The 24187-nt window shown below is 50.4% G+C and overlaps 1 protein-coding gene and 1 non-coding gene across 8 annotated transcripts, besides 5 other annotated features; both read right to left on the reverse strand.

Moving 5' to 3' along the window:
• Positions 13718-14704: an enhancer, noted in NCBI's record as "H3K27ac-H3K4me1 hESC enhancer chr19:40314468-40315454 (GRCh37/hg19 assembly coordinates)". NCBI's record gives its function as "activates a minimal SCP1, AML or CMV promoter by ChIP-STARR-seq in primed H9 embryonic stem cells {active_cell/tissue: H9 hESC(primed)}" and the evidence as "EXISTENCE:reporter gene assay evidence [ECO:0000049][PMID:30033119]".
• Positions 14173-14562: an enhancer, noted in NCBI's record as "active region_14631". NCBI's record gives its function as "activates an Ori minimal core promoter by ATAC-STARR-seq in GM12878 lymphoblastoid cells {active_cell/tissue: GM12878}" and the evidence as "EXISTENCE:reporter gene assay evidence [ECO:0000049][PMID:35858748]".
• Positions 14705-15689: an enhancer, noted in NCBI's record as "H3K27ac-H3K4me1 hESC enhancer chr19:40315455-40316439 (GRCh37/hg19 assembly coordinates)". NCBI's record gives its function as "activates a minimal SCP1, AML or CMV promoter by ChIP-STARR-seq in primed H9 embryonic stem cells {active_cell/tissue: H9 hESC(primed)}" and the evidence as "EXISTENCE:reporter gene assay evidence [ECO:0000049][PMID:30033119]".
• Positions 15240-24052, reverse strand: DYRK1B (dual specificity tyrosine phosphorylation regulated kinase 1B). 7 transcript variants are annotated; one of them, NM_006484.3, is made up of 12 exons: positions 23913-24052; positions 21695-21858; positions 20554-20673; positions 20265-20453; positions 19770-19917; positions 18187-18473; positions 17400-17546; positions 17175-17315; positions 16842-16877; positions 16562-16757; positions 16070-16176; positions 15240-15976 (listed from the first exon to the last, which is right to left on the reverse strand). In NM_006484.3, exons 2-12 carry the CDS (start codon positions 21755-21757, stop codon positions 15605-15607), a joined length of 1806 nt encoding a protein of 601 aa, NP_006475.1. In that variant the 5' UTR covers positions 21758-21858; positions 23913-24052; the 3' UTR covers positions 15240-15604. The 7 variants fall into 7 exon arrangements, with proteins under 7 accessions (NP_006475.1, XP_047295624.1, NP_006474.1 ...); XM_047439668.1 differs by lacking the exon at positions 23913-24052 and adding an exon at positions 23157-23538; NM_006483.3 differs by lacking the exon at positions 16842-16877.
• MIR6719 (microRNA 6719) lies at positions 19606-19692 on the reverse strand. Its single transcript, NR_106777.1, has one exon. It is a non-coding gene; the product is annotated as a microRNA 6719 (primary transcript).
• Positions 23225-23494: a silencer, noted in NCBI's record as "silent region_10613". NCBI's record gives its function as "represses an Ori minimal core promoter by ATAC-STARR-seq in GM12878 lymphoblastoid cells {active_cell/tissue: GM12878}" and the evidence as "EXISTENCE:reporter gene assay evidence [ECO:0000049][PMID:35858748]".
• Positions 23755-23864: a silencer, noted in NCBI's record as "silent region_10614". NCBI's record gives its function as "represses an Ori minimal core promoter by ATAC-STARR-seq in GM12878 lymphoblastoid cells {active_cell/tissue: GM12878}" and the evidence as "EXISTENCE:reporter gene assay evidence [ECO:0000049][PMID:35858748]".

Consider the following 24187-nt stretch of genomic DNA (forward strand, 5'->3'; position numbering starts at 1 on the left):
CAACGTGAGGAAACCCCATCTCTACTTAAAAAAAAAATACAAAAAGTTAGCCAGGCATGGTGTTGCATGCCTATAATCCCAGCTGCTCGTGAGGCTGAGGTAGGAGAATCGCTTGAACCCAGGAGGCAGAGGTTGCAGTGAGCCAAGATCATGCCACTGCACTCCAGCCTGGGCAACAAGAGCAAAACTCCGTCTAAAAAAAAAAAAAAAAACCAAAAGGGGCTGAACAAAAAAGGAACTGCATTGTTTCACATAGCAAGAAAAGCAGAGGTGGGTTCCAGGGTTGTTAAATTCATTAATTTATCTATTCAAACATTTTAGTTCTACTTCAGTAAAAATTTTATTTAAAAATACATGAGTACCAACCCATTGTCAGGCACTGTTCCAGGATCTGGAGATATAGCATAGAAGAAAGCAAAGTCCCTTAGGTGGTTCAGTGACATTATCAAGAACTTAGGTCCTTTGTCTTTTCTGCACTGCCATCTTCAGCATGACACCTGCATCACCAGATGGTGGCCACCGCCCCGGCATCACCCGCTTACACGGCATTTCCAGGGACAGAACAGGGAGTCTGCTCTAGCCTCTCTCTCTTTTTGTGATTCAACTTTATTGAGATATAATTTACATGCAATAAAATATATCCACTTTAAGTATAAAATGCAATAAATCCCAAAAGTTTCCCTCATCCCTTGTGATTTTAAGATACAGTTTTATCACATATTTTTGTATGCTTAAAAATGTTTCCTTTTGCTTGGCTTTGAGCTTTATAAATAGTATCATCCTATATGGAGTCTTTTGTTTTATTCACATTATGTTTCTGTAATTCTTTTTTTTTTTTCTTTTTTTTTTTTTTTTGAGACAGACTCTCACCCTCTTGCCCAGGCTGGAGTGCAGTGTCCAGGATCATAGCTCACTGCATCCTCGACCTCCAGGCCTCAAGCGACCCTCCCACTTCAGCCTCCCGAGTAGTTGGAGCTACAAGCACACGCCACTGAGCCCAGCTAATTTTTGCATTTTTTGTAGAAATAGGGTTTCACCATGTTCCCCAGGCTGGTCTTGAACTTCTGGCCTCAAGCAATCCTCCCGTCTCAGCCTCCCAAAGTGCTGGGATTACAAGCAGGAGCCACCATGCCCAGCCTAAATTCATCTTTTTCTTGTACATCTGTTGTTCCTTCATTTTCACTGCTGTGTAATTGTCCGTCATGTGAGATATACTAAAATTTATCAATTCTCCTTTAAATGGACATCAGATGTGTTTCTTTTTGCTATCAGATAAATGCTTTACAAAAGCATACAAAAGTTGACAGATGAACTTTGTATACTTGATCTTAGCCAAAGGCTGAGAAGAGATACTATGAACTTTAACATCTCAATCGATGCATGTGGTCAAATATCTCTTCTTGGGTAAGGACCTAGGAGTGCCAAGCATATGGGATTCAGATTTTCAATTTGGTTCAGTTTTTCAAAATAACAACAAACTACTTCCCAGAGGGTTGTACTAATTTGAACTCCCATCAGCAACATATGAGATGTCCTGTGAATCCCCATCCTCACCTACAGCCATCTTAACTTTTGTCAATTTGAGGCTGTGAAACAGAATTTTAGTGTGGCCTTTTTTTCTTTAGATGTTCCATATAATTAGGGGCTGGCTTTTAGTCAGATGGCTGGGACCAAACGATTGAGGAGGAAGGGAATTTAGAGGGTGACTGTAATGATGAATCTATAATTGGTAGGGGACAGTGGGCAGGGTGGGATGGAAAAAGGAGAGCCATGATGGACAGGGAGAGTGTGGGAACGTGGCCTGGAGGTTGCGCTGGAAGCAGAGGTGGTACTTGAACAAGCAAGCTGGAAGGAGAGGAAGTGGATTTCAGTTTCCTGATCTTTGTCTTGCTCTGATTAGGGATGAGTTGGAACATCTTTTCATGTCAATTACAAAACTACTGAAGCAACCAAAGAATCTCAAAGGAAAAGACCGACAGACTATTTTTAAAATTACTTTATTTAAAGCAATGTTTCTATGCAATTTAAATAAAAGAAATCTCTGGAGAAAAAAAAAATCTCTTTATCACAATCTATGTTGTACCCAAAACTGATATAACTTAACAAAGAAAAGACCAAGCCCCCGTTCAGGAATGTGCCATTGGTAAAGGGCAAATCCTGAGAGGAGCTACAGGGTAGCTCAGAGACAGGTGGGCAGAGCAATTCTACAGAAGGCAGATGTGATCCATGGCATGGCTACTGCACGCCCAGCAGGAGTCGAAGCAGCAGGAGATGCTGTGCTGGTGGCTGGGCCATCAAAATGAGGCCTCTGAGGCTGGCTTCACAGTCCAGTTGTGAAATGTGCACGACCCACATCTCACGTGTCATTTATTAATGCAGTATATTCACTGACTGTGTGCCAGGCTCTGCAGATAATGTGGCAACCAAGATAGACTCTGCCCCCATGCTCATGGATTTATTGTCCAAAGATGAGACAGACGCAGAGATGCTGACATCACAGCTGGTCAAGGTGGGACAGGGGAGAGGCAGACAGATGGGTCAAGGCTGGGATGGGAGAAACCCCAGGAGCTGTGGAAGCTCAGAACGGGCCCCCCACCCACCCTGGGGGACCAAGGGGGCTTCCTAAAGGAGACACCTTTACTGAGACCTGAACAGTGTATGGAATTAGTTGTGGGGAGGTGGGTGAAAGAAGGGTGCTCCAAAAAGAGGGAGAAGCACGTACAAATGCCCACAGGTGACAGGGAGTCGGGAGTGTTCTAGACCAGCATGATCCAACAGAAGAGTAACACGAGCCATACATGTGAGCTGCAAAGCTAATTAAACATTTTCTAATAGCCCAATTAAAAAAACCATAAAATTAATTGTAATTTTAATAATATATTTTATTTAACTCAATATATCCAAAATATTACCATATCAGTATGTGATCAATATAAAACATTTTTTTTGTACCAAGTCTTTAACTCTGGTGGGTATTTATGCTTAAAATATATCTCAAGTCACACGAGCCACATTTCAAGTGCCCAGGAGCCACATGTGGCCAGTGGCTCCTGTACTGTACTGAAGAGCAGGGCAACACCTTTGCTACTCAAAGCCTTGGCATCATTTGGGAGCTTGAAATGCAGAATCTCAGGCCCCTTCCTCAACCCACCGAAGCGGAATCTACATTCAAAATCCCAGATGCACATCAGAGTTTGAGAGAAATGGGTCCAGTTCTGCCTAAAATACTTCTGTGGCTTCCTACTGCCCTCATGATAAATGTCCAGCTATTGAGGTTGGCAATCATTCATTCACTCCTTCATTTACTCATTCATTCAGCGCATGGTTACTGAGCACCTACTGAGTGCCAGGCCCTGTGCTGGGTGATGTTGAGGACTCACCGACGGTACAGACAGACCTGATTCTGACCCTGCTGGAACTCCCAGACAGTTAATAAATGAGTAGCCAAATCACTGTTTCATTTGGACTATGTGAAACATAATATGCTTAATGTGAATTTGCAGTGTACAAGGAGTGTCAGGGAAGGTCTGACCCGATTTGAGTGGAAAGGGATCCAGAAAAATAACCCAAATAAGGGAAGAGGCCACCACCATGGCGAAAGGCCACAAGCAGATTAAATGTCCTATTGCAGAGGACAGGATTGCCAAGCAACTCCAGCCCATTCATGGTCATTAAGAAGGATCGTTTTCAGGCTTCAGAGAAATGTGGAGAAACGCCTGGAGTATAGGGTTACAGAAAATGAGCCAGGGACAGAGCTGGTGCGGTGATATCACCCCATGCACAGACTTGTCTGAATTTGGAAAATGAGGAGAAAGGAGGGGATCAGAGAATCAGGAAGATGGGCAATTTGTCAGTAGGGAATGACTTGGGGCAAGAAATTGCAGGTTATCTTTTTTTAGGAAAATTTAAAAATCCCTTAACAAAACATATCTAGATTTGCTTTAAAAATAACTGAGGCCGGGCACGGTGGCTCACAACTGTAATCCCAGCACTTTGGGAGGCTGAGGCAGGCGGATCATGAGGTCAGGAGTTCAAGACTAGTCTGGCCAACATAGTGAAACTGTCTCTACTAAAAATACAAAAAAATTAGCCAGGTGTGGTGGTGTGCGCCTGTAATCCCAGCTACTCAGGAGGCAGGAGAATTGTGTGAACCTGGGAGGCGGAGGTTGCAGTGAGCAGAAATCGTGCCATTGCACTCCAGCCCGGGCAACAGTGTGAGACTCTGTCTATAAATAAATAAATAAATAAATAAATAAATAAATAAATCTGAGCAGCAGAAAAAGATGTGCAAGGTATGGATTAAGCAACAGTGGCCATATGCTGGTAACTGCAGAAGCTAGTGATGAGAACGTAGGAGTTCATCAGCCTCTTCTCTATGCTCTTATGTATGTTTGAAATTTTCCCTTAAAATAAGTTAAAAGTGTTTTACTTTTTCTTCTTCTTTTTAGAGATAGAGTCTTGCTCTGTCACCCAGGCTGGAGTGCAGTGGCACGATCACTGCCTAGTTCACTGCAGCTTCAACCTCCTGGGCTTAAGCGATCCTCCTGCCTCAGCCTCCCAAGTAGCTGGGACAACAGGCTTGCACCACCATGCCCAGCAATTTTTTTAGTTATTGTAGAGAAAGGGGTCTCACTATGCTGCCCAGGCCAGTCTTAACTCCTGACCCCAAGCAATCCTTCTGCCCTGACCTCCCAAAGTGCTGGGATTCCAGGAATGAGTCATGGTGCCCAGCATTTTAAAAATGTTTTTCTTTACAAATAATTGGTGATGTTGAAAGGTTTCTAGTCGCTGGAAAAGAAAGCAATTTAAGCCCCTCTTCCAAAGGAAGAAACTGTAAGATCAGAAATATGAGTTTCTCCTTTCAGAATAGAGTCAAGGAGGAAGGTGGTTAAAGGCACACATGATAGAACTGAGACTCCTAGGTTCAAATCCTGTTGCAGGCACTTACTAGCTATGGAACCTGAAGTAACTGATTTAAACTCTAAATGCCTCACTGAAAACCTGGGATAATAACAGTAGCTACCTCCTAAGGGGTATGTGAGGATTACTGGATGTATGCAAGCTGGGGGTTTAGAAGAGTGCCTGGCATGAAGAAGGCACCATACAAATGTGGGCAGTTACTGTGAAAGCCTATGCTAGCCAGGCTTAGAACTGCAAAATGTCCCAAAGCACATCCGCTAATAGTCTCTCTTTCTTTTTTTTTTTTTTTTTTTTTTGTAGAGACAGAGTCTTGCTGTCACCCAGGCTGGAGTGCTGGAGTGCAGTGGTGCGATCTCGGCTCACTACAACCTTGACCTCCCGAGTTCAAGCAATTCTCCTGCCTCAGCCTCCTGAGTAGCTGGGACTACAGGTGCACGCCACCATGCCCGGCTAATTTCTTTTGTATTTTAGTAGAGACGGGGTTTCACCATGTTGCCCAGGCTGGTCTCAAACTCCTGAGCTCAAGCAATCCGCCTGCCTCGGCCTCCCAAAGTGCTAGGATTACAGGCATGAGCCACCGTTCCCAGCCCACTAATAGTCTCTTTACTGAACTCACTGTGCCAACAGCCACTGATATCAGAGTGGAAGAATTCTCCCAATGCCAGTATTAATAATCTAGTTAACTTCCCTCTTGCACATACAAAATCCTTTTATACAATTCAGTTGTTCTAAATGCTTGTGAGACATTTTTTAGATACCTTGTAAGTCATGTTTATAAGGATAATTGTGATAATTAATATAGAAGATTCTCTTAATCAATGTGACTCAAAAGGAAGCTTACAAGTGATCCTTAAAATTTCACTCTGGTGTGACAACCCTAGTGTAAAGAGAAATGAGCCTCAGTTTTCTTCCTACTGCTGTAGATTTTTTAAAGTAATAAAGTGATTCCTGAAAGTTGTTTTCATCTTAAGCTGACACATAATGTGATTTATTTTCCTGTTTACTTTTCCCCCTACAACAGGTTTAATTGCGTTAAATGGTGAGATGGGAGGCCAAGAGCCCAGGGAGGAGGACAGGCAGAGACAAGGTGGGAGAGGACCGGGTTGGACCAAGGCAGAGTGGAAAATGGGAGAAGGGAGAAGATGTGAGAGATGTCCAGCAGTCCCAGAGGACAAGCCCTGGAAGCTGATGGGCTGGACGGGGGGCAGGGATGGGAGGGAGGCATTCAGAATGAGGCCCATGGCTCCCTCTGAGAACCTGGAGCCTGGAGGGGCCACCCCTGAGACAAAGGCTGAGAGAGCATGTTTGGAATCTGGGACATGGTGAGTGTTAAGGGCCCAAGGATTGCCCAGTTGGGATTGGGGGATTGTCCATGAGGCCTCCGGATCCTCCAGGTCTAGGGCTCAGAGTAGAGGTCAGGGCTAAGGACAGAGTGTGTCATCTGCACAGAGATAGGAAACAGACCATGAAAGAGGGTAAGGTGGCCCCAAGGTGAGAAGAGAGAACATAGCCCCACCACATTTAACAGACTGGTGAAAACAGAGGAGCCCGCAAGGAAGCAAAACGTAGAGGAAATGTCAGGGGATAGCAGACTCACAGAAACTAAGGGGAGGGTGTGCTCACAGAAGGCAGGCAGGGTCACCACAGCCGATTTTTGCCAAGATGACCAATAAGATGAGCACCAAAAAGAGCCCACTGAGCCAGGCTTCTCACTGGCAGAGGAAGGAGTTATAAAGAAAGCAAGGGGGGGATGGTGAGAATGAACCCTCTGGTACTAGACTAGTGTCAGAGTATCAGTATGAACTCATGCTTATTTTTACACACCATTCTCCAATGAAAAGAACCAGTGACTCTAGAGGAAGAGCTAATTCTAGGGCTGGTGCAGGGAGAATACATGAGCCTGGAATATCTTGCAGTGCCAGAAAGTAAGAAGGTGTTGGAGAAAAAAAAAAGAGTAAAGAACACAGGAGCCAACCTGAAAGATAAACGCTGATGGCCAAGGCTAAAACAACTTGAGCAAAAAAAAAATTGATTACAATAATGTTGGGGTATGCCCAACTAATAAATATTCATGAGTCCACACGGAAATAAACTAATGATTGTATAAATAAAATAAGTGAAGTATGATAGAAGGGACAAATCTTCCATATGGAATTCTAAATAGTAAATGTAAAGAAATGAGGGAAACAGAAAGTCATCATTATAATATCACGGTAATAACTGCTACAGACCGGGTCCACTGATGAATGCTAAAATGTGTGGGTAAACTTGAAGGAGAAATGGGATATTTGTGCAGCCTCCAAGTATCTCCCTATTTCCCTCCAGGAATCAGGCTTAGCTCTCCTCTGAGTGTGGGCTGGATTTAGTGACTTGCTTCTAACAAATGAGTAAAGGGAAAATAGTGGTATTATCGTTGGGAAATCTGCAGACACCACTTTCATGAAGTGATCAGGTTAACCTCACCTCAGTGAGCATTCTTCCCAAAGCCTAAAATCCCAGTCTAACCACGAGCAAAATGTCAGACAACCTCAGACTGAGGGCCATTCTACAAAAACATCTCACCAGTACTCCTCAGAACTGTCAAGGTCATGAAAAACAAGGAAGGACTGAGAAATTGTCACAGATTGGAGGAGGCCAACGAGAAATGACCAACAAATGCAACATGGTATCCTGGATTGGATCCTGGAACAGAAAAAGGACATTAATGGAAAAACAGGAGAAATAGGATTCAAGTCTGGAGTTTAACAGAATATTAATCCATGTTAATTTCTCAGTTTTGACAAATATACAATAATTATGTAAGATGCTAACACTAGGTGGAAGTTGGGTGTAGGTATAGGGAAGTCCCTGTATCATCTTTGCAACTTGTCTGTAAATCTAAAATTATTAAATTTTAAAACGTTCACAAAACTTTAAGTCTCCTCTGCAATATGGCTCGAGGTGGTCCCCCGCGGAGTTCCAAAGCACGCTTTGTTTGACTCATCCTTCAGATCTCATCTTACATGCTCCCCACGCCAGGAAGTCCCACCTGACACCACAGACTGGGTCAGGAGCTGCCTCTGGCTCCCACAGTCCCCCTGTGGCTCCCCTATCCTGGCCCCAACCCCTCTGCCTCCCCATCCCAGCCCTGGTCACTGTCTGCCGTTGGGGTTGTCTTCCCCACTGGACTGTGAGCTTTGCGAGGGCAAGGTGGAGGCTGTCTCAGCCATTGCTGTGTCTCAGCCATTGCTGTGTCTCTCTTGAGTTGAGAGTAATGCGTGTCTCCCTGACTCCTCTGGGAATACCCATGAACAGGCAGAAGCTGCGCCTGAATCCTCCCAACTGACCCTTAACGCTTCACAGCCCAAGGCCTGCCAGATCCACCTTCCTGGTATCCCCTTTCCTGTTTGCTCAATCCAGGACACATCTGAGGCAATATAAATGGTCTGTCTCACCCATCAGCCAAAAGAGGGTCAAATCATCTCCAACCCCTGCCACACCTGCCCACCCACATGTCCGCCCTGTACACCAAGTGTCAGAAACACATGGTGACTGTGAATGTTTGGGGGGCCTGCCCAGTCCACAGCCCTTCTGAGCAGACAGTCATCACTATAGGAACCCTCCAGCTCCAGTGAGTTGAGCAGGGTTGGATACCCGACCCTGGAAATCCCATTCCTATCTGGGAAATTCGGAATGAAGACTGAGGGGCTGCGGGTAACTGAGCTGGAAGATCACATAGAGTGGGGGCAAGAGTCCACCCAGGACCAACCCAGCTGCCTGAGAACAGGAAGCAGCCAATGCAAAGAGAAGCAGAGACCACAGGGCCCAGTGGAAAGGAGGAATGTCACACCACTGTCTCACTTCTGCTTCTATTCTGTTCTCATGAAGCCCTTGTCAGGTTCTTTCCATCACTACCCACAACCAATCACAGTGAGTTCTGCCTTCAAAATGCACCCAGACTCCAATGACTACTCATTCTGCCCCTGCCCTGGTACAGGCCACTGTCATCTCACCTAGATTATTGCAGCAACCTCCTCACGGGCCTCCCTGCTCTCATTCTCAGCCCACACTTCCATCTATACACCCTCCCTTAGTGATCCCATCCTGGGCTTTAATACCATAAATATGCCAACTACTCCCAGCCCAGATCTCACCCTTCAATGCCAGTCTTGTATAAGCTCCTGTTTGGCCAGTGGGTCCAGTCAGAGGCTAAACACGCCCACACTCTCTCTCAGTCTTGTCCATACAGTTAATGGCACTCCCTCCTTCCTCTGTGCAGACTAAACGCCATAGTGTGGTCCTTGACTCTTCTTTCTTACCCTACATACCTGATTCTCCCTTCAAATTATATGCAAAATCTGACCACATCTCCCCACCGCCCCGTTAGCACCCTGGCCAAGCCACTATCATCTCAGCTGGACTGCACAGTGGCCTCCTCACTGGCATCCTGCTTCCACCCTAGTAGCCACATGGGAGCCAGAGGAACCCTCTTACCGTGGTAGATCACATCGCCTCAGCTCACCATGCTCTCCCTGCCACACATCTCATCAGCTTCAAATTCAAGTCCTTCCCATGGCCTCCCGGTCCCACCTGACCTTGCCTTGGTCTCCTTCCCTCCCACTGTGTCCAGTCAGGTCCAGTTCACTCCTTTCTGCTCCTCCAGCACACCAAGCATGCCTCGGGGCCTTTGAATTTGCTGGTTTTTTCTACCTGGAATGTCCTTCTTCCCAGAATATACATACAGCCAGCTGGTGTCCTCCCTTTCTGTGAGGTCCATTAACGTTTTTCTCAAAGAGGTCTTCTTTAACCCCTCTATCTAAAATAGCACCTCTTCCCACTCTCTAGTCTTCCAACCCTCAACTTCTACAGCTCTGTTCACTAATATTAGCATTCATCTTGCCCACTGGAATGCAGGCTCCAGGAGGACAGGGCTTTCGGGGGTCTTGTTTGCTACTATTAATAATACCAGCACCTAAAAATGCTTGGCATGTAGTAAATAGCCAGATCTGATGACTCAACAAATAAGAAAACCCTGGAATCAGTTAGGATATTGTTGATTCTAAGTAATAGAAAACTCAATTCAACAATATAGTTGGCTTAAACGATAGAGATATGTTGAATTCCCTAATGAGAAAGTCTAGAGGTAACTCACTCCAAGTGAGGCCTGATCCAGCACTTCAACAACATCACCAAAGACTCGATGTCTTTCCATCTCTCTACTAGTCCTTCCAAGAAAATGGCTAAAATCACATCACTAAGAAGTGGGTTGGCTGGACGCAGTGGCTCACGCCTGTAATCTCAGCACTTTGGGAGGCCAAGGTTGGTGGATCACTTGAGCCCAGGAGTTCGAGAGCACTCTAGGAAACATGGTGAAACCCCATCTCTACAAAAAATACAAAAATTAGCCAGGTGTGGTGGTGCATGCTTGTGGTCCCAAGTACTCAGGAGACTGAGGCAGGAGGATCACCTGAGCCCAAGAGGTCTAGGCTGCAGTGACTCCAGCCAGGGTGACAGAGTCAGGCCCTGTTTAAAAACAAAAAAAAAGAAGAAGAAGAAGAAGAAAAAGAAGTGGAAGTGGGTTACTAATGTGTTTATTCATCTGACCGCCACTTCTTCAACAATTGTGAAAATTGTAATGCTGATGAACATGATGCTGATAATAATAGCTATCACATATTCAGTGCTTTGTGCCAGGCGCTTTACTAGTACTTTATTAGCTTCTGTGTGCCTTCATTTCCTCGTTTGTAAAATGGGAACAGTAGTAGTACCACATACGGTGACTGAGGATTAAATGAGCTAATACATAAAATGGTAAGATCTTAAAAAAATATTAGCTTGTTTCAGTTAGCTATTGCTGTGTAACAAAGCATCCTAAGCCACAGGGGCATAAAATAGCAACCATTTCTTTGCTCATGATTCTGCAATTTGGACAAGGCTCAAAGGGTCAGGGGATTTGAGATGGTTCATTCCTACTCCACATGGTGTCAACTGGAATGGGAGTTAGGCCATCCCAAGATGGCATCACTTGCACGCCTGCACATCAGCTAAAAGTTGGAACAGCCGCGGGCTGGGGCAGATCTATAGAAAGGGCAGGGCTCCAAGAGTAGAAGCAGAATCTGCCAGGTCTCTTAAAGCCTAGGCCTCCATTTAGTACAGCATCATCTTCATTGTATTTTTTTTTTTTTTTTTTTGAGAAAGAGTCTCACTCTGTCACCCAGGCTGGAGTGCAGTGGTATGATCTTGGTTCACTGCAACCTCCACCTCCCGGGTTCAAGTGATTCTCCTGCCTCAGCCTCCAGAGTAGGTGGGACTACAGGAGTGCACCACACCTGGCTATTTTTTTTTTTTTTTTTGTATTTTTAGTAGAGATAGGGTTTCTCCATGTTGGTCAGGCTGGTCTCGAACTCCTTTCCTCAAGTGATTCACCTGCCTCAGCCTCCCAAAGTGCTGGGATTACAGGCATGAGCCACCGCACCCAGCCTGCTTTCATTGTATTCTATTGGTCAAAACAAATCTCAGGGCCAGCTCAGATATAAGGAGAAGGAAGGAGACTCCACCTCTTGATAGGAAAAACAGCAAAGAATGTGTGGCTGTCTTCAATCACAGCTATTTTAATTCCACAGTAACAGCCTTGTCACTGGTCTCCCTACTTTAATCCTTAATGCCTTATAGTCAATTCCCCACACAGAAGCCAGAGGAGTCTTTTAAAGTACACTTTAGTGTGAAGAATTTTAGAAGGAAACACACACACACACATACACACACACACAAACACCTGACCACGCTCCTGTCCCCAGCTTAAAATTCTACAACTTCCCACTACATGTGGGGTAAACACCCAAACTCCTTATGGCATACACAAGGTCTGACCTCTTGCTCTGCATCAGCCTCTAGGCTCCAACCATCCCAAACTCTTATCTCTTAAAGGAGTTAATGCCTACTCCTTCATCACCTCAAACCTCATTTCCTAGGATCCGGATTTGATTTCCTATCAAGTATTCTTATAACACTCTCTACCTTTCTTGGTAATTTCACACGTGTGATTATTTGATAGTCTAAATTACTGTCCCTATTACTGTAGGTTCTATAGGGGTAGGGGAATATTTTGTTCTCTTCTGTGTTCCCAATGCTGAGGAGAAAGAAGAGGCAAGGTGAAATACTTGTTGAATATCTTGAGCCCTCAGAAAACTTTAAGGCAGCTCCTTGGAGTTCTGTAGAAAGGGGATCGGCAGAGTCCCCGCCATGCTGGGATCCAGATATGTGCTCTTCAATAGTTTATTTGATAAGTAGTTACTGAGCCCTAACTGTGTGCCAAGCACTTTTCTATGTGTTGGAGATAACGGAGGAAGTAGACAAAAGCCCCTTCCCTGATGAAGTCAACAGTCTCCTAGAGGTAAGGGTCAGGGGAGACAGACCATAAACACAGATAAATTCTACAGAGTGTTAAACAGTAATATGATTAATGCTAAGGATAAAGTTAAAGAAGCAAAGATAGATGTGACTATAAGTCACAAATTTAGAAGGGTGGTGAGGGAAGATCTCAGGAAGGCAGTGACATCTCAGGAGAGACCTAAAGAGGAAGGAACAAGTCTGGGCTATTTGATAGATGAGTTCTTTAGGCAAAGAAAAGAGCAAGCACAAAGGCCCTCGGGCCAGTGTGGCTGGAGCACAGGGAGTAAGAAGAGTAGATGATGTCAGAGAGGTGATGAGGGCAGACAATGCAGGGCCTTGCAGAGGACTCTGGGTTTTACCCCGAGCAAGATGTAGCCTTGGAAGTGTTCTGAGCGGGGGAGGGATATGACCTGATACAGGTGCTCACAGCATCCCTCCAGCTGCATGTAAGGAACACTCTGGGGGCAGGGGTGAGAGCAGAGAGATCACTGAGGAGCCTGCCATAATGGTCTGTGAAGGAGATAAGGGTGGACAGGAGTGAAGGTGGGGAGAAGTGGTCAGGTATATTAGCTGACAGACATGAATATAAGACAGAAAGAGGAGTAAAGGACAATTCCAGTGGTTTGGGCCTGGAGAGGATGGGGGGAGCATTTACTGAGATGAACATGCAGGGAAAAAATTTTGGGGAAAGGAGCAGGAGCTCAATTTGATCAAAATTACTCTGGAGATACCTCTAGATTACCAACAGGTTATGAGGAAGGCAGCCAGTCAGGAGCTCAGGGGAGAGATTCTGGGATGGACATAGAAATGTGACACATAATGGGAGGCCGAGGCAGGCAGATCACAAGGTCAAGAGATCAAGACCATCCTGGCCAACATGGTGAAATCCAGTCTCCACTAAAAATACAAAAATTAGCTGGGCATGGTGGCGTGTGCCTGTAGTCCCAGCTACTCGGGAGGCTGAGGCAGGAGAATTGCTTGAACCCGGGAGGCGGAGGTTGCAGTGAGCCGAGATCACGCCACTGCACTACAGCCTGGAGACAGAGTGAGACTCCGTCTAAAAAAAAAAAAAAAAAAAAAAAGTGACATATACATTTCCATGCCTCTCCCAAATTCCTCACAAGACCTACGTGATCTGGCCCTGCTGATGTCTCCTTGGTAAGTTAATGGTACGCGCGCACACACACACACACACACACACACACACACACACACACATCCTGGGCCCTCCCCTTCCTAGGTATTGATAATGGTCAAGTTACCTAAACTTTTCTGTCCTAGGTATCATTTACAAATGGGAGATCACATCAGCACCTGCCTCCTAGGATTGTTCATTCAAGACATTAGCCACTGAGCATCTGCTCTACGCGCTGGAGATATCCCTTCTCCACTCCTCTCCGCCTCCCCCTCCCACACAGCCTGTCAACCTTCTGGACGTCTCTCCCATCCCCTCTTGCCCTCCCTACGGTGGCCCCTGCCCTGATCCATTCCCAACACCTCTTGCCTAGGAATCTGTCACATCTGCCACCCTGGGTTTCCTGACCCCAGTCACTTTCCCGTTAATCTATTCTCATGTCACAGCAAACTGGGCCGTACCCCTTCCCTACTAAAAATCCTCCCATGGCTCTTCATTGCTCTCAGGACAAAATCCAAGGTCCCTAAATGATCAAGAAAATCTTCCACATCTCATTCATACAGAATTTTCAGTATGATCACCAACACCAGATCGCCTGCAGTCCATGTTCACACAACAGGCTGTTTCTCTCTGCCTTTGCGCAAACCATTCCACCACACCGCCCCCGACCCCCAAAACATCCTTCCGTCTTCAGGTCTCAGCTCAGACAGCTCCTAGTCTTCCGGGATGATCTTCCTACCAAGGTCTCCTCGGGTTCCCACCGCGTTCCATGCCGCCTCCATTAGTGAACATACATAGGTCCGCAACGGGGTCTTGCCTGTCTCTCCCACTGAGCGGGGCTTCCCGCAAGCCGGGCCAGGCACAGCGGCCAGTGATGTCCGCGTGCTGGGGCCTCTTCAGGCCTCGGCGTCTACTGCCCGCTCTGGAACTGTGAGCGACAACCGGCACTCTCTCCCGGGACGGCGCCGCACCCACCTTCTGCACACCTCGGAGACCTCAACACCTGCGCCAAAGCCACCCAGTCACAGCCTTCTCTCCCTCTCCTAAACACCATGAACATCCAGGCCCCGGGACCTCAGACTGCTCATTGGCTGCCTGAAAACCCGCCCCCAAGCCTGAGAGAAAAGAACTCTGGTTGCTGTAGTTCCCCAACGAACACCGCAGAAAGCGATTGCTAAGTAGAACTTCATTTCCCACAAAGCGCCGAGCCCCAGTGGTGGCAGACGGTACCCTTTGAACTGGGCTCTTGATTGGCCGGTTGGGAGACGTACATTTCCAAATTACCGTGGAAACAGGACCACTTACCTGGAACCCCGGGAAAATCTTTTTGTCTCAGAATCTCAAAACTCTTTGTTTCGCGATGATTCCAAAGAGCTGGACAGTACACGTGGGGACAGAGTCTGTACCTATTGTCTGCCTGTTCCCCAGATGGCACCAACAAAGCCTCCTAAGTGTACTCAGCTGCTACTGGACGCCTGCTTGGCATGAGGAGCCACTCTTGTGCTAAGTCTGCGGACGCCCCGGCTTATTAGGGCACCTGTTTCCCAGAGACAGGCCAGAGCTGAACCTTTACCCTTTCAGGGTCTATTTACCCAGGAAAAGGCAAATGTAGGCCAGGATCCTGTCCACGATCTATCTAGAATGCTGATGCCCCAGACCTGCAGACTCATGCCTGCAACACGCGCCACAGCTTCCCCACGAGACGTCTCCACACCAGAGCTCCTCCAGCACCCCCTCCGCAAACCCCCTTCCCCACCATGCCTCTGAGGGTCGGGTGAGGGGAGCCGAGGCCCTGCAAACGCTCAGGCAGGCATGTGAGAAAGCTCTTTACTGGGGGTACAGCGAGGAGGAGCAAGGCCATCTCCCCCTACCTGCCCCCACCCCCTCCTAGGGTCCTGGGGTGAGGGGGGGTCTTCCCTCCACCGGACCACCACTGTCTTTGGTACAATAAATAGAAAAAAAGGGGGAGAGGGGCCCAAGGGTCCAGTCCTTAGTGGGGAGGGAGCGGCCAAAACCCTCTCCTTGACCCCCCTGCCCCAGGCCCCAATCAGTGCAGGCCTCACCCACCCCAGCTGGGTAGCAGCAATTCCAGTCAAGGAGAGAGATGAGGATGGGAGCCCAGGGCCCCCAGATGGGGGAGGGTATGGCTTCAGGAGGGGCCCCAGGGAGGGGGCAGGGTCACGAGCTGGCTGCTGTGCTCTGGGGTACACCACGGAGGCCCAGGTGAGGCCCCAGAGTGGCAGGGTCATCAGGAGGCGGGAGGGGTGGACGACCTCCAGTCATCCGAGTCCGGAGGGCTGAGGCAGCCGGGTGCTGGGGGGCAGGCGCTGGGTGAGGTGGGGAGCAGTCAGCAGGGCCGCCCACCAGGCTCACATCCATCAGCTCCGGGGGTGGTGGTGAGGTTGGTGATGGGGGACGACCAAGGTATCGGGGCTGGGGGGGTAACTGGGCCCCGGTCCCAGGCAGTGACGAGGCAGAGGCAGGGGCTTGATGTGTCTTGTGGGGCACATCACCCCCTGCCCAGGGCCGCAGCGGCTGGGAGGGTGGGACCTAAAAAAGCAAAGGAGCCATGGGTGATGGAGACCCTGGTCTCTAAGCCCCAGGCACCACCACCCACCTCCAAAGCCCCCAAAGCCCCATTACCTGGGGGCTGTTCATCTCACAGTCTGTGATAGGGGGCCCAGGGCCCCCACAATATCGGTTGCTGTAGCGGTAGGTCCGGTTGTCACTGGAGGAGCCACTGGAGCCTCCTGGAAGTGCCAGGGAGGAGAGGTGAAGGGGCATAAGGTGAGAGAAGGTGGCGAGTGGGTTTTGGGATGGCTGAGGGAAGGTCACGGCCCAGGCTCAGGTTCAGGCTTCAAGAGCAGAGCCCATCTGAAGCACCGGGCCCAATTCTGAGATTCTGGGTTGGAATTCAGTTTTGGGTTTTAGAGTCAGAACCAGTTTCAGGGCTCTGAGCCCAATTTCAGTGATTGTGTCAGGGCCAGTTGGAGCTCTCCCATCCCACACGTCATCTTACAGTTCAGGATCAGTTTCGGCGCTTTGTGTGAAGACCCAGTAACCAGGTCCCCCAGGACAGGCCAAACCTGAGCAGCCCCCACCCGTTGTACCCCATTTGGGCACCTGGGCACCCACCAGAACTGGAGATGGAGCTGGCGGTGCTGGAAGAGGGGCAGGTGTCGAGGGGCGCGGGCGAGGTGGAGGCACTGCTGCCTGCCGGGCCCGTGTTGGTGGCCTCGTCGGCCGTGCGGCGGAAGAAGCCGTGCTGCAGAGCCCCCAGGGGGCTGATGCGGGCGGCGGGCTCATACTCCAGCATGCGCAGCACCAGGTCCTGGAAGCGGAGGTAGTCGGCGGGGCTGTGGCCCGGCTCCCCCGCCCGCCGGCCCCCGGGCCCGCCCGTCTGCACGCCCAGCACCTCCTGCAGCCGCCGTGTCCCGGGGCCCTGGTAATCCTGGCAGGGAGGGGGTGGGAGGGGGGGCAAGAGAGTGGCCGTCAGTGGGCAGGAGGGGCAGGGAGACACACACGGGGAAACAGAGGCACAAGAGAGAAAGTGGAAAGAAAAGCTAAGAAGAGTTGTGGGGTGGGAAGGAGAGATGGGAGATGGGGTGGGCAGGGGAGGAAGGAAAGGACAGACAAGGGGGAGTGGAAGGAAGGGAAAGACACAAGGGAGAGGGAGCAGGGGGAGAGAGCCCCAAGTGTGAGTGAGGGGCCACGGGGTGGGAGGAGTGGCATGGGGCAGGGGCCGCACCTTCCTGAGTTCTTTCGTCCTTCGTAGGGTCCAGCCACCCCCAGGCAGCCGTTCAAAGTACTTGCGAGCCTTGGGCGCCTGGTCCAGCATGGCGGCCGGTGGGATGCCCAGCACCTCCACAATGCGGTTCATCTGGTCGACCTGTGAGCAGGCAGGGGTCAAGGTCATCAGGCCAGCCAGGCTCCACCCCCTCCACCTCCAGCACACCCCTTCCTGGGGGCACACCTCATTGGAGCCACTGAAGAGGGGCTCTCCGGTGTGCATCTCCACAAGGATGCAGCCCAGGGACCACATGTCAATGGCCAGGTCGTAGGGTGTGCCCAGGAGCACCTCAGGTGAGCGGTAGAAGCGGCTCTGGATATACTGGTAGATCTGGGAAAAGGGTAATCGTCAAGGGACCCAGCCTCCCCTACTGGTCCCACTGACACCCCCAAAGCTAAGAGGACCCAACTGAGGACAGGCTTCTTGCTGACAAAATGGGGACTGAGGCTCCAAATCCTGCCATTATCAGCACCAATTTTCTGGGAGCCACTGGTGCCATCTTGTTTATCAATCTGGGGAGTCTGCTGGCCTAGACAGACCCTGATCTCCACCCCCAACCCGGATCCTGGGCCCTTCTGGGTCACCAGGCAGAGGCTGACATTCCATAAGCCCTATACCATCGTCACTTTTAGTGGCAGCTCATACAGAGCTGCAAAGTTGAAGCCTTCCACCTCCATCCTCAGCTTTAAGAACAGAGAAGACAAAAACTTAGCGAGGCAGCACCCCTGGCTCAAACCCAACCCAACTTCACCCTGTTCACATCTGGCAGCTTCAAAATGGGCCCTGCCCCTCAGGCTTCACCCTTCCCATCCTAGTGGGCAGTATATTCACACCCCCACCCCAAGCATTATCCCTCAGTTCCCACGGCTCCTAATAATCCCATCCCAGCCAAGCCCCGCCCCTAAGCCTCCCGTTGGCTCTGCCCCACCCAAACTACTAGCCGTGCTCCCAGGACCGGGCCGCCCCCTACCCTCTGGCCAAGCTGGCAGGAGCTGCCGAAGTCCACAATCTTGATGGCGCTGCGCTTGGGGTTGCACAGCAAGATGTTTTCGGGCTTGAGGTCGCAGTGAATGATGCTGAGCTCAGGCGTGGCCAGAAAGAGCAGTGCCGTGCAGAGCTGCTGCGCCAGCTTCCGGGTCAGGTTCAGCGAGACGCCGCGGAAGTGGGTGTTGCGCAGGAGGTCGTACAGGTTGTAGGACAGCAGCTCAAATACCAGGCACAGGTGGTTCCGGAACATGAAGTGCCGCTTCAGGTGTACTGCGGGGGAGGGGAGGAAATGGGCCAGAGAAGAAACGGCTCAGAGAGGGCAGGTGGTGGCCTGGGGTCATACAACGCTCTTTGATTACTAGCCACATTGTGCTGTCCCCACGGGTACCATCTGCTAGTCAAAATCTTTTTATCTAACAACTAGATTCACACAGGAAGTTAATGCTCTTTCCAAGTCTCTGTCAAACCCTCCAATTAAACCAAAGAGAAAGTTTCATTAGTTACTACTAGCTCTAACACATTCTACACTTCCTCATTTAATTTCATAACACTGCTTTCATCTCCCTTGTATTCATTTTTGTGGCAAAGGACACTGGTTTTCCGTTTACTTTAAGGATATACGTTTTCCTTTCAAACGAAACCATTTTAAAATCCACTTGCTGTTTATGATTATGTTGTGATGTTTATGTCCATGAGCAGGAATCAGTTTAAGGGAGGAGAAAGACTGGCACAGATGTTAAGAGTAACAGCTCTGGAGTCCACGACCTCATCAAATTATAGCTCAATTAGTACAAACTGCCACCTCATGCAAGTGACAGCACTTGAATGCCTGAGTTTCTTTTTTCCTTTCTTCGTTTTTTTTTGTTGTTGTTGTAACTGTTGTTGTTGTTATTAGGTTTGGTTTTTTGTTTGTTTTGGGTTTTTTTTTTTTTGAGATGGAGTCTCGCTCTGTCATCAGGCTGGAGTGCAGTGGCGTGGTCCCAGCTCACTGTAACCTCCGCCTCCCAGGTTCAAGCGATTCTCCTGCCTCAGCCTCCTGAGTAGCTGGGACTACAGGCGCGCACCACCACATCAAGCTAATTTTTTCACATTTTTAGTAGAGACGGGGTTTCACCATGTTGGCCAGGATGGTCTCGATCTCTTGATATCATGATCCGCCCACCTCGGCCTCCAAAAGTGCTGGGATTACAGGCGTGAGCCACTGTGCCCAGCCCGTTTTGTTTGTTTTATTGAAGAAGAAACTAGGATGGAAGCCCAGGTTTCTTATCTTCAAGATGTTGTTAATAATGCCCTTCCCCTTATGGGCTGTGGTGAGTTAACTTCCAAGTGCTTCCAAGAGAGCCTGGCCCTTGGTGAGCACTCAGTAACCTCTGACCATTACCAAGAAAATAGGACAAAAATCATAAAAGCAGCAGGAGAATCACTGATGTCAGAGAAGCACAGACCAAACCCTGCTCTGAAGACATCAGCCTCCTCCTGAGAGTAGGGCGGGGGTGTGACCCATCCCTACTGGCTCCAGCTCCCGCTATCCCAGGTGCCCACAGCCCTGCCAGTCCCAGGCCTCACCTATATAGTACTTCATCTCCGTGTCATGCTGGTTCATCAGCTCCAGCAGCCGCAGCTCAATCTGGGCCTGGTTCAGGAAAGCCTTTTTGTTCTTGATGATCTTGATGGCCACAAGCTCCTGGGTCTGATGATCATAGGCTTTCACCACCTGTTGGGGCAGGGCATGTCACGAAGAAAGGGGTGGGAGCAGGGCAGAGCCAGGCACCATTCTTCTCCCTCCAGGCAAGGAGACCCACCAAGAACACTATGCATACTTCGCAGCTGAGTGCGCACCATTAGTCAGGCGCTGGTGTAAACACTGGATGTGAAATAACATAACGACCTTATGTTGAGTCTTGTTATTTAAACTGTTTTACAGAAAAGGCGACTGAGGCACAGGGAAACTAAGTGGGCTAGGGTGAGTGGCCCAGCATGGGACTTGAAGCCACTGAACCACTGGGTGTGTGATCAATGTTAGTGGGGCCTTGGATCAGGGTGGTGGGGGGTGTCCCACACCTGGCCAAAGGAGCCTTTGCCAATGAGCGAGTCAATTTCGTAGCGCTCCAGCCAGCGCTCGCCACTGCGCACGATGTAGTCATGGTTGTCGTCATCATAACCATGGTTCAGGACCTTCTTCTCCTTCTTGTTGCTCGAATCCTGGGGTGGCGCCTGCTGGGCCCGCCGCTTCTTCTTCGCATAGTATACCTGCCCAGCCAGCCAGCCAGGAGATGGGGACTGGTGAGTGACTCATGCCAGCAGACAAGACCCTCGGCACCCAGCCCAGGATCCCCCAGCCCCTGCCCACCTCATTGATGTGCTTGTAGGTCTTGATGAGGTCCACAGAGAGCTTACGCAGCGGGGCTGAGGTTGCATCCCGGAAGGCCAGGGGCAGCCTCCGAGGCAGTAGCCGCACATCAGGCAATACCTGCAGGGCAGGGTGAGGGGTGGGCACTGAGGACGTGCCTTCACCTCCGACCTCAAGAGGAAGAACTGTAAGGGCTGCTGGCACATCATGTATTTGGTTGCTGTCTGTATTTGTTCCACCTGTCTAGGAAAGAAACTCCCCCAGGGCTGAGACTTTCTCTTGTTCTTACTATACCTCCAGTGCCTACAGCAGGGCCTGGCACACAATGGATGCTCTTAGAGATCTGTGGTGTGAATGAGTGAACTCTGACCTTTCACCCCTCACCTTTACTCCTTTCTGAACCTCAGAGGGAGAGATCATATGGAAAACCTGGGCTCTGTTCCTCCCCATTCTTCACTTTGAAGCCAGCCATTTTGGGTACCCTCTGAAGTACCTCTATCTCAATTTACCCTCATCCCTTGGGCCTCAACCCATACTCCCACCAACTCTTTGCACAGTTCTTTCACCCCAAGGCTCTTGGATCTGGATCTGGCCCCTGGACCTCCCACTTCATCCTGCTTCAAGCTCTGCATGTCACTGCCTTCACTGCCTCTAGCCTTGGGAGAGCTTTGCCCTCACCACCCATGCCTGTTGGCCTCAAGACCCTTTAGACTCAACCCCCCTCCAAATTCACCCAATCCAGATCTTTCACTCTGAACTTTTCTTAGTAGCATTTATTGGGTATTTACTATGTGCCAGGCACCATTCTAAGTGTTTTACATGCATACCATTAACTCATTTAATCCTCACAACAACCCTGTGAAGTAGGTATCATTATTGGCCCCATTTCACAGAATGAGTTGAGTTCTCCAACTCAAGTATGGAGAACCTAAGGAATTTAACCACTGGGTCAGGATTTGAACCCAGCCTCTCCAAACCCTGACTCTGCCTGAAAACTCCTCTGTTATTTTCCAATCCCATGGGACCCATTATGTGCCCAGAAGAATGTCTTGGGCAACCACACTACCTTTTGGTCTGGAGACCTTTCTATCCCCAGCCTCCCCCTACCACCACGCAGGTGAGGAGCCAGCTGAACGCGTACCTGCGTGTGCTCCTGGGGCCCTGGGAAGCCAGAGAAGGGACCATGGCCCGGTGGGACGGCCATGGTGGGCTCAGAGGGCCGCAGGGGAGCGAGGCCTGGAGCGGGAGCCCGGCCGGGGGGCGCCTTCTTGCATCCTGCACCTCGGCTGCCACCGCCGCTGAGACCTGAGAGCAGACAGGAAGTGGGAAAACAACATGGAACAAGGGGATATGTGAATAGTGCCAGGCGGGGAAGAGTGGACATGAGAAAGACAGGGCACAGAGAGAAGAGGAAAAGGGCACAACGGAGCAGCAGATAGCAATGAAGAGAAGGGGCAGAGAAGTGGTAGCCAGGTGGGGGGGGATGGCACAGCAGTCCCTCGACAAATAATGATCAAGTAAATGATTAAGGCAGCACAAAGAGAACACATAAAAGACAATGATTGGGGGCCAAGCAGGGGTCGATATGAGCCATCACAGGGAAAGGAGGACAGGAAGACACCAATAATTCAGAGGAGGAAAAGAAAAAAGAAACCACAGACAGTATGCAGAGGAGTAGGCTTCATTCTTTTCTCACTACTCGTGGCCCTCCCCAGGGCCCCTAACACAAGATGCCACTTTCTGTAGTCTTCCCTGAACATCAGGATCTCAGCCCGTAGCACAGCCAGGGCCAATACTTTAAGATCTATCCTTCTCAGTAGATTCCCTCAACCCAGAGAACTCTAGGATTCCCAAACCACATGAGTCTTCCCCTCCCAAACCACAGCAGAGTCCTCTGCAGCCCTAAAACCACATCAGCGTCCTTGGGGACCTCCCAACCACACCAAAGTTATCTGAGAACCTCTATAGAACAGAGTCCTATCTCTACAGCATTCTCATCCACCAGGGCACGATTTTCCTAGGGGACCCTCTCCATATCATGCCAAGACCGCTTCCCTATTTCAGGTCCTCCATATTAGGAACCAGCCTTCCAGGTAGTCTCCCTGTACCATATCCCAATTCCCCCTACCACAACAGGGTTCTTCCCCATATTACTCCAATATCCCATCCCAATCAAGGCCCACTCCTCCTGATGGGAGAAGGAGGAGGTGTCTCTTCCCACAGTTTAGAGTGATCATCCTTTTCTCCCCTACACTGCTTCCTTGCCCCCCTACACACACACACACACCCTAATATTCCTACCACAGACCTTTCTCCAGGCACCCCTCTTTATACCAGGGTCATTCCACAACTGTGTCCACTCCTAGAGGGCCTCAAAGTCAAATCCCCAAGTTATCACATAGGGTTCTCTCCTCCCAGAGTTGTCAGCTACAGCAAAAATCTTCTCCCCATGGGCCACTCTCTCCCCCATGTCAAATCCCTTTCTCCTATTCCATGCCTTGCCACTCCACGACTCCTCCACCCTTGGAGCTTCCCCCAAAAAACCACCTCTTCTCCGGGGCCCTCCCACACCAGGATCATCTCTCCCAGCCCCCACCCCCTACCCGGGTCAGGGCTGGCGCGGGGCCCACGGGGGGCTGGGGCGCGGTGGGGCCCCCAGTGGGGTGGGCGAGCGGCCAGCATGGCGGCGGTGGCGGCGCTGAAAAGGCGACCGCCTGTCTCTGGCCCGGCCGGCCCCGCGGCGGGGAGGGCAAGCGGGACAGGAGGCCCGGTGGGTGACAACAGCAGCCGCCACTGCCACCGGGGGCGGGGAGAGGAGGGGACAAGGGTCAGCCCAGGGCACGCGGGGGAAGAGTAGAGCAGGTGGACGGGGGAGGGGCGACACGCCCCACCCTGAGTGACCACCAGCCCCTAGGGACCCGGCGTCCCGCCCCCCACCCAGGAGGCCCTCCTGGGCCTGCTGAGACCGGAAGGCGGGGCCCGACTGAGCTTGGCAATCGGCACCTGCCATGGCAACAACTGTACCATTGGTCGCTGGTGCCAAGAGCTCAGCCAATCACAGCCTAGGGCAGCTGTTGCTAGGCGACGAAGAAGCGGCCCGCGGAGCTGAGCCCAAACAAAGGGCGGGAGTGGGGCCCGGCTACCCCCTCCCAGCCTCCCTCCTGCAACTGCTTCCTCGGGCTTGGCCGGTTCCAGGAATTCAACTATGAATAGCCAGGCAGGGCCCGCACCTGCCTGCCACCCCCCTCCTCTCCTCCCTTGGCCTCGTGCTAAGTCTCACGGCGACGGGAGCAGGGCGGATCCCGTCCTGCCCACCTCCCTGCGACCGCTTGCCGCCCCACCCGTCCCCGCGCCGTTACCTGAAGGAGCGGGCAAGGGGACTCAAACTGCTCGGGGAGCCCGAGCTCAGACCTGCCCACTGGCTGAGGGTATCCGGCGGACGCGGCAAGCCAGGGCCCCGATTACCCAGTAATGCAACCAGCAAAATGGCGACCACAACAAACCGGCCCCCCCACGCCCTGGACTCCGCCCCCATCCCTCCCTCTCCGCTCCCCTCACGTGACCCACACTGACACTCCGCCTGCGCGAGATGGCCGCTTACCTGCACGCATGCGCAGCGAGCTACCAATCCCAC

Source organism: Homo sapiens, chromosome 19 (genome assembly GCF_000001405.40).
Source record: "Homo sapiens chromosome 19, GRCh38.p14 Primary Assembly".
Classification (NCBI taxonomy): Eukaryota; Metazoa; Chordata; class Mammalia; order Primates; family Hominidae; genus Homo; species Homo sapiens.

Excerpts from the sequence above, each read along its gene's own strand:
- DYRK1B (XM_047439667.1), bottom strand. The coding sequence starts at position 23,235 with ATGCTGGCCGCTCGCCCACCCCACTGGGGGCCCCACCGCGCCCCAGCC. Across the intron at positions 20,674-21,694 it reads GGCCCCAGGAGCACACGCAG|GTATTGCCTGATGTGCGGCT; the intron begins GTACGCGTTCAG and ends CCTGCCCTGCAG. Across the intron at positions 20,454-20,553 it reads CCTACAAGCACATCAATGAG|GTATACTATGCGAAGAAGAA; the intron begins GTGGGCAGGGGC and ends CTGGCTGGGCAG.